This window comes from Homo sapiens, chromosome 14, assembly GCF_000001405.40.
Source record: "Homo sapiens chromosome 14, GRCh38.p14 Primary Assembly".
NCBI lineage: Eukaryota > Metazoa > Chordata > Mammalia > Primates > Hominidae > Homo > Homo sapiens.
This window is the reverse complement of record NC_000014.9, coordinates 92,840,135-92,848,979: the sequence shown is the minus strand read 5'-3', so window position 1 is coordinate 92,848,979 and position 8,845 is coordinate 92,840,135. Positions and strand designations below refer to the sequence as shown.

General features: G+C 42.9%; 2 annotated features.

Moving 5' to 3' along the window:
- Positions 1,538-2,737: an enhancer, noted in NCBI's record as "P300/CBP strongly-dependent group 1 enhancer chr14:93312588-93313787 (GRCh37/hg19 assembly coordinates)". NCBI's record gives its function as "activates an origin of replication core promoter dependent on BRD2, BRD4, P300/CBP, MED14 and CDK7 cofactors, with strong dependence on P300/CBP, by STARR-seq in HCT116 cells {active_cell/tissue: HCT116}" and the evidence as "EXISTENCE:reporter gene assay evidence [ECO:0000049][PMID:35650434]".
- Positions 2,261-2,310: an enhancer, noted in NCBI's record as "active region_8946". NCBI's record gives its function as "activates an Ori minimal core promoter by ATAC-STARR-seq in GM12878 lymphoblastoid cells {active_cell/tissue: GM12878}" and the evidence as "EXISTENCE:reporter gene assay evidence [ECO:0000049][PMID:35858748]".

Sequence of the window (8,845 nt, the reverse complement as noted above, 5' to 3'; positions counted from 1 at the left end):
ATTCTGTGCCAGACAGATTTGATACACTGACATGTTTAGTAACCAAATAGGCCAAACCCGTGGCTATGTGAAAACAAACAAAACATATGCTTGATCTCATTTCTACTGCTAATTGGAGGACCTTGATGGGTCTTTGGATCTGTCTGCTTGTCTGTAAAATTATAGAACTGAATATGAGGAGCTTCTATCAGAGCTGACTGAAGACCACACTTGTAGTCAAATAAACAAAACAAAACTACCAAAATTAGGAATTAGGTTTATTAGACTTGCTGCAGCAAGGGAGACTGTGTACCCAAGAATATCTCAGTAACGGGAGATGATAGGGGTCTTTTTTTTTTTTTTCTTAAGAGATAGGGTCTCCCTCTGTTGCCCAGGTTGGAGTGCAGTGGCCATAGGTCACTGTAATCTCGAACTCCTGAGCTCAAGTGATCCTCCCACCTCAGCCTCCCAAGTAGCTAAGACTATAGGTGTGCACCACCACACTAGGCTAATTTTTAAATTTTTTGTAGAGACATGGTCTCACTGTATTGCCTAGGCTGGTCTGGAACTCCAGGACTCAAGTGATCCTCCTATCTCTGCCTCCCAAAGAGCTGGGATTATAGGCGTGAGCTGCTGAGCCCAGCTGACAGGGGTTTCTTAAAGGGTTTTGGCTTGTTTTGGAACATTGTGAGGGAGAATAAGTAATGGGGGCCAGTTCTGGGATGCATGTTGTCGAGAAGCAGGAGCAATTTCGTGACTGAGTATCTCAATCATTGCTATCTAGGAGGGTTAACATGGGGGCTTGAGTTGTTATTGGCAAAGCAGCAGCAGTTGTTCAGAAAGGGGCAATGCTTATTAGTAGAAGGGAATGTTTAGTAATTTTTGTGCTCCCAAGACTGGCCTTGTCAATGTCTTGTTCTGAGTATTGTTTATATTCTGCTGGACACATGGTTGATTGTCTAGCAGGGCCGTTTTTCACTATCTCAGCTTCATTTGACTTTATAAACATGCCATCCAATAAAACTCAAATTGGAATGCACTTTACAGCTTAGAAAATGCTCTTTTTCCCTGTGGGGGACTTCTTTGTGATGGTGGCATTTTCTCCATTTTTAACAACAAGGAAATTGAGGGTCAGAGACGGTAAGTGGCTTCTAAGGACCACAGCTACTTAAGCCATCAAGTCAGAAAATAGTAGCATTCAGCTCTAATTTAGTCCTGGTTTTGAAAATTGTTCATTTGACAAATCTGCACTGAGTACTTACTAAGTTCCTTGCACTATTCTGGGCTCTGAGGAGACAACTGTGATAGAGTTGAAATGTCAAGCTTGGAGTCCTGCTGGCAGGGTGGAAAGTGAAGAGGCAGCCCTGTGAAGCACAAGGACTGTGATGAGGGTGCTGTGGGAGCTCCTCACCAGGGAGGGATGCCACGCCCATATTGTACAGCTGCTGTAACAAATTACCACAAACTTAGTGGCTTAAAACAACACGAATTTATTATCTTGCAGTTCTAGAGAGCGTAAGTCTGGAGTGGGTCTCACTGGGCTAAAGTCAAGGTGTCGCAGGGCTGCATTTCGTGTGAAGGCTTTAGGGGAGAATCTGTTTCCTCATCTTTTTCAGCTTCTAGAGGCCTCCTGCAGTCTGCAGCTCAGAGCCCCTTCCTTCCTCCACCTTCAAAGCCAACAATGGCATTGCTGCAACCTCTGCTTCCCTTGTCACATCGTCTCTGATTCTTCTGCTTCCTTTTCCATCTTTTAAGGATCCCTGTGGGGTAATTCAGGATAATCTCCATATTTTGTGATCGTTAGCCGTATGGACAACACCCCCTTTGCCTTGTAAGATGACATATTTACAGGTTTCAGTGACGAGGGCAAAGAAGGGCACTCACATCTTTGTGGGGGAGCATCATTCTGCCTACGAACACCTAGGCTACTATTTTTTTTTCTTTTTGCAGGGAAAGATGGAGTTCTGATTTCACCAAGTGGCATCTATGCTGACATTAGGAGGGGACAAAAGCCAAGAAGGGAAGGTCTGGAGGCAGGGAGAAAACTTGGTTAGTGCACTGTTGGACACACTAGTCAGCTATTGTTAGCTATTCCTCCTAATTTCAGGAATCCACAAAAGCAAAGATTTACTTTTCATTCCAGCCACATGTCCACTGTGGACATGCTTCATTCCAGGGCCTAGGCTGAAGGACAGCCCCTATCTGGGACACGCTAAACTCATGGAGGAGGAACAAGTTAGGTGTCAAAGCCACAGATGACTCTTAAAGCTTCTGCTGAGGAAGGGAACTGTTCCACTAATATTTCACCACTAACATTTGGCTGGTGAGTCAAAGCAAGTCAGGTCATGTGGCCAAGGCTGATATCAGTGGGACAGGAAGTAAAATCCTCCCACAGTAAGAGGCAGTGAATAATCAGAACAGTAATAGACTAGCATAGTGGTCAGAGAGATGAGGGTAGAATGAGATGTGGGGAGTGGCTGGAAAGTCATGGGGTAGTGAGGGCCAGGTCATGCATGACTTTAAAAACCAGTTTCCTCTTCACAATGGCCAAAATATAGAATCAACTTAAGTGCCTATTTATGGATGAATGGATAAAGAAAATGTGGCATATACACACAATGGAATATTACTCAGCCATAAAAAGAATGAAATCCTGTCATTTGTAGCAACATGGATGGAACTGGAGGTCATTATGTTCAGTAAACTAAGCCAGGCACAGAAAGACAAATATTGCATGTACTGACTCGTATGTGGGAGGTAAAAAATTGGATCTCAGAAGATAGTGGACTGGCAGTTACCAGAGACCAGGAAAGGTAGTTTGGAGGAGGGAATGAAGAGAGGCGAATTAATGGATACAAACACACAGTTGATGGAGTAAGACTCACTGTTTGATAAATCCATAGGGTGACTATAGTTCACAATAATCTATTTTACATTTTAAAATGGCTAGAATATTTAGAATATTTCTAGCATAAAGACAAATAAGGTGATGAATATCCCAATGACACTAATTTAATCTTTACAAATTGTATGAATGTGTTAAATTGTCACTGTACCCCAAAAATATGTATGTTCTGATTTAAAAATTTAAAAAACAGTTCCATTTGTTAGAATGTAGGCTCCATGAGGGCAGGAAATAGGTCTCTGCCTTATCATTCTAGCCCAGTGTTTCTCAATACTTTTTTTCATTATTACTATCCCAATACAGTCTTTTTTATTTTTTTGAGACAGGATTTTGCTCTGCTGTCCAGGCTGGAGTGCAGTGGCATGATCACAGCTCACTACAGCCTCAACTTCCCAGGCTCAAGTAAACCTCCCACCTCAGCCTACTGAGTAGCTGGGACTACAGATGCATGCCACCACAACCGGCTTTAAATTTTTTTTTTTTTTTTTTGTAGAGATGGGGTTTCACCATGCTTCCCAGGCTGGTTGTGAACTCCTGAACTCAAGCAATCTGCTTATCCTGGCTTCCCAAAGTACTGGGATTATAGGCATGAGCCACTGTGCCCGGCCCACACATACAATCCTAATACCACAGATATACTGTTACATACCACATGCATATCTGGGCTCTTTATAGATAAAAACAGTAAGATATCTTTACCCTCCTAGGAAATTTAACCCCCTTGGGAGTGACATCACCTATGTTGAGAATGTGTGTTCTAGTCCTAATTAAGTTTTAATTCTTTGATTCAAGTGACTTGTGCCATGTTTATGAATTAAAGCAAATTGCTAGTAGTTAAGTTTATTTGAAGGTGGTGTCTTTGGAAGTGATTAGGTCCTGAGGATGGATTACGAATGGGATAAGTGCCCATAAAAGAGGCCCCAGACAGGAGAATGGTGTGAACCTGGGAGGCGGAGGTTGCAGTGAGCCGAGATTGCGCCACTGCACTCCAGCCTGGGTGACAGAGCGAGACTGTCTCAAAACAAAAACAAAAACAAACAACAAAAAAGAGAGGCCCCAGAGAGATCCTTCACCCCTTCTGCCATGTAAGGTTACAGTAAGAAGACTGTCTAAGAGGAAAAGGACCCTTGCTAGACACCAAATCTGCTGATGCCTTCATCTTGGACTTCCCAGTCTCCAGAACTGTGAGAAGTAAACCTGTGTTGTTGATAAGCCAGTCTATGTTCTTTTATTATAGCAGTCAAAACAGACTAACACAACTATGAACATCTATGGCCAGCAATATCTTCAGGCCATCTTCTGCTTTCAAATTCTTATGGCTTTTCCCGTTTTGGAGGAAGCCCTGCCAAGCTGCCCGATCTAAATCCACACTATTGTCAACGTACCTGGCCAGTTACAATTTCTCTTCTTTGCTATGGTTTTAGAAACCAGATGAGCTGTATAAATAGGATAGATGCTGAGTGAAGGTCTAGGAAGCTTAAAGACTCGTGCATGAGCTTAGTGCTTTGCTCGATTCAATGAGGTTCAATGAACATCAAGTGCAGGCCAGTTACGTGCCAGATACTGTTCTAGGCACTGGGGAATACAATAGTGGCTAAAAAAGTAATGTCATTCCTCTCAGGGGATCAGAAAGGTCTGAAGCCATTTCAGCTTATGAGTTCTGGCAGCACAAGAGCGGTGATGCCAGGCAGTGAGTCACACTAGGGTTGGTCAAAGGATGGAAGATGTTTGCCTTCAGACACGAAGGGCTCTACTCTTGATTTCATCTTTTGGTTTGTCCCTGATTTGAATAAAGATGAGTTGACTGTGAATGTGGAGACCAAAAGTTTTTGGGGAATCTACAAATTCACTGATTTGGTGTTCTTAGTACATAGCAAAGTACCTCCTCAGGTATAGCCTGTTCTCCACAAAATGAATTCTTACTATTCAGCATTGGCATGTGGAACAACTGTAGTCTGTAGATGCCCAAATGTAGATTTTTAAAGGTTTTCTCTGTTTAAAGAAGGTAGTGGTTCAGGGGCAGAGGGGGTTACCAAGCAGAAACAAAAAAGCGATTTTTAATACAAAGTCCTAACGCTGGCATACAGGTCCCTACAGGGTTGGCTCCACCCTCCTCTTCTCCTCCACTTGTCCCCTTCCAGCTACTCTGGCCTCCCTGCCAGTCTAGTTCTCGAACACACTAAGCACGCGCCCACTCAGAAGCTTTGGGCTTCTTGCTGAACCTACTGCACAGAAATCCCGCCCTGTATTTCCCATGGCCCACCACTTCATTCAGGCCCTGCCACTTCTGCAGAGACAACTTTGCTGGTCACCCTCCAACCTACTCTATACCTTCACCCCATTCTATTTTTCTTCATACACTTAACGCTGAGTGACGTGATGTGTATGTTTGTAGTCTTGTCTTTCCCACTTCAGTGAAAGCTCCGCAGAGGCAGGGACTTTGTTGTTGACCACTCTATCCCCAGTTCCAGTGGCCAGCACAAAGGGTCCTCATAATTCAAATTACTTTGCAGTCTTATAGTGGTTTAAAACAAAATTATTTCACTACCCACTTTTTTCCTTGAGACATCTTCTCTAAATAAGCCTTCCATATGTAGCATGTTTGTTGCTCAAGTGAGCTTATGAAAGAGTTTCACTTATTTTGAGTGTTTGTGTGTTTTTATTGTGTCTGGAAAGCAGATCACCGACTAGAAGTATGGAAGTTTGGGGCCGGGCGCGGTGGCTCATGCCTGTAATCCCAGGACTTTGGGAAGCCGAGGAGAGCAGATCACTTGAGGTCAGGAGTTTGAGACCAGCCTGGACAATATGGCAAAACCCCATCTCTACTAAAAATATACAAAAATTAGCCGGGCATGGTGGCAGACACCTGTAATCCCAGCTACTTAGGAGGCTGAGGCAGGGAGAATTGCTTGAACCCGGGAGGCAGAGGTTGTGGTGAGCTGAGATCGCGCCCCTGCACTCCAGACTGGGCGACAGAACAGGACTCTGTCCCTGGCCCACCAAAAAAAGAAGTATGTAAGTTCAGAATCATTTAATTCATGTTCTTCTCATTCAGGAAAGAATAGGAATACGGTAGCAGTCTCAATGTGTGCAGAACAGCCACTAAGACACCCTTCTCAGGTATTTCTTTTTTCTGGCCAATTAGAGCCTGAAGTCCCTTAGGTCTTTAGTCCTTAACTACCCCTTAGGCTTTACTAGTCCTTTCCTTCTACTTCCTACCAGACCAAGACACACATACCAGCCTTTTCCAACACTCAGCTGGCCTCTTGCACCAGGGAGCTGGAGTCCAGCAAGACATATTTAAGTAGCTTCCACCTCCCTGCCCCACAGGGTGAGATGGGTCTTAGTTTTAAGGTAAAGCTGAACTGCCCTGACCAGATATTCTATTACCTCATTTACAGAGCTAACAAGGAAAGCCTATTTCCACCATATTTTAATAAAATCCATGCTTTTTCTTTGAAGTTTTTGTTCCACAGCAATAAATATGGCATTTTCTTTTTATTTTTTTTTAAATATGTTACCCAGGCTGGTTTCAAATTCCTGAGCTCAAGCAATCCTCCCACCTCGGCCTCCCAAAGTGCTAGGATTACAAGTGTGAGCCAGCACACCTGGCCCAAAATGGTATTTTTCAGTAAGCACAAAGTCTAGAGAAAGGGAAATTTTAGAATAATCTTATTTTCCAATTGACACCTATAAATAAAAAGCAGTATAAGAGCTCTGATAACATGTACGTGTAAATATATGCATACAATTTACAATGTCTTTAAATAAATATATTGATTTGAGAAGGAAAAAAACTCCGCTCTCATGCAACCCCTTTAATTAGGTCAAGAAAGTTTTGTGTCATCTGAGGATAAGGAATGGTAGCGCTTTAAAAAACTGCCTAGTTTGTTAGTAGTCAAGGTTCCTGAAACTGAAACCCAATTAAATATTTAAGTAACTGCAGAAAAACAATCCCGGAAGCACACTGTCAAACTATTTTCAAAGCCAAGAATGTGTAAAGACTGAACAAAGGACTTAGAGACATCTCAACAAAAGCCAGGAGGACGTCCATGGAGATGGAAAGTCTGGCAACACCTGATGATGAAGCATGGGCTGTTCTCTGTTTGAAGTTTGTAACCTGGTTTTAATCATTTTCCAGAAATATTTCCAAATTAGAAGAGGGGGGGGGAAAAATCAAACCTTTAAAATATAATAACAAGGCCAGGCGTGGTGGCTCACTCCTGTAATCCCAGCACTTTTGGAGGCCGAGGTGGGCAGATGACCTGAGGCTAGGAGTTGGAGACCAGCCTGGACAACATGGTGAAACCCCATCTCTACTAAAAATACAAAAATTAGCTGAGCGTGGTAGCGCATGCCTGTAATCCCAGCTACTCAGGAGGCTGAGGCAGGAGAATTGCTTGAACCCAGGAGGTGGAAGGTGCAGTGAGCCAAGATCGTACCACTGCACTCCAGCCTGGATAGTGTGGGACTCTGTCTCAAAAATAAAATAAAATATATTCACAAGACTAAACTGTTACTTTATTCTGTTTGAGAGCAGCCCTGACTTAACAGCTTAGACAGTGATGGGCTATCACACCAGAGTAAGACTGTGCCATAAGTCCTAGACAAACTTAAGTCATGTGCCTCTACCTCCAATCCCAACATCTGCTCTCATACGATGGGGAACTTTCTGCATTTTTCACCCATGCCAAGTTGGGAAAAAAAGGCCCAAACACACCTAAGATGACCTTTAAAACTTCATTTTCCAATGAAAAATAAGAAACATACACATCTAATAGTGTACCAGAACTTCTGAAGAATTTATAGGGCTTCTATGTCAATTAAAGTCATGATGGAGACACATTTAAAGAGTAGAAACTTCAGTCAGACGTTCAGTGAGGCACCAAGCAGACTGCTTCCAAGATGTTCCCCTTGACAGGAAGGACTGTACCCTTGCACAGCCCAAGATCCACATATATTAATTACCTATGAAGAGAGTAGCCGGGTGACAGAACAACTTAATAATTCAGACATGCAGGGCCAGGTGCAGTGGCTTATGCCTGTAATTCCCACACCTTAGGCGGCTGAGGTGGGAGGACTGCTTGAGGCCAGGAGTTTGAGACCAATCTGGGTAACATAGTGAGACCCTGTCTCTACAAAAAAAAAAAAGAAAGAAAAAAAAATTAGCCAGGTGTGGTGGTGCATGCCTGTAGTCACAGTTCCTTGTGAGCCTGAGGTGGGAGGACTGCCTAAGCCCAGGAGTTTGGGGCTGCAGTGGGCTATGATGGTGCCCTTGCACTCTAGCCTGGGTGTCAGAGCAAGACCCCATTTCTAAAAATTAAAAAAAAAAGTTTAAATCAAGTTGGAGGGTTTATTGATATAAAAATTAACTCAACATGGATCGTAAACTTAAATGGAAAGCCTAAAAGTATAAAATTTCTAGATGAAATGATAGGAGAAAATCTTTGTAACCTTGGGTTAGGCAAAGGTTTCTTTGATAGGAACACAAAGTATGAACAAGAAAATTTAAAAACTGACAAATTGGACACCTCAAAATTTAAAACTGCTCTTCGCTGGGTGTGGTAGCTCAAGTCTGTAATCCCAGCTACTCGGAAGGCTAAGGCAGGAGGATCACTTGAGTCCAAGGGTTCGAGGCTGCAGCTAGCTACGACTGTGCCACTGAACTCCAGCCTTGGTGACAAGAGTAAGACCCTGTTTCTTTAAAAAACAAAAAAAAATGAAGATGAAAATGAAAGTCAAAACAGATAATACATTGGGCCCAATGTAAAAGAGACAATACAACGGACATTTTCAAAGAAAATGTCTCATTTCGAATAATATCTCTGCACTAGAGTACCTTAAAAAAGCATAGGTTGCTAAGGCAGGTTTGATTCCTAAACACTACAAGCAGGGGTTATGCATATCACGAGCTAACTCAACATATAGGCTGGAGAAAAGGAAGGCAATGAGTGAGTAAGA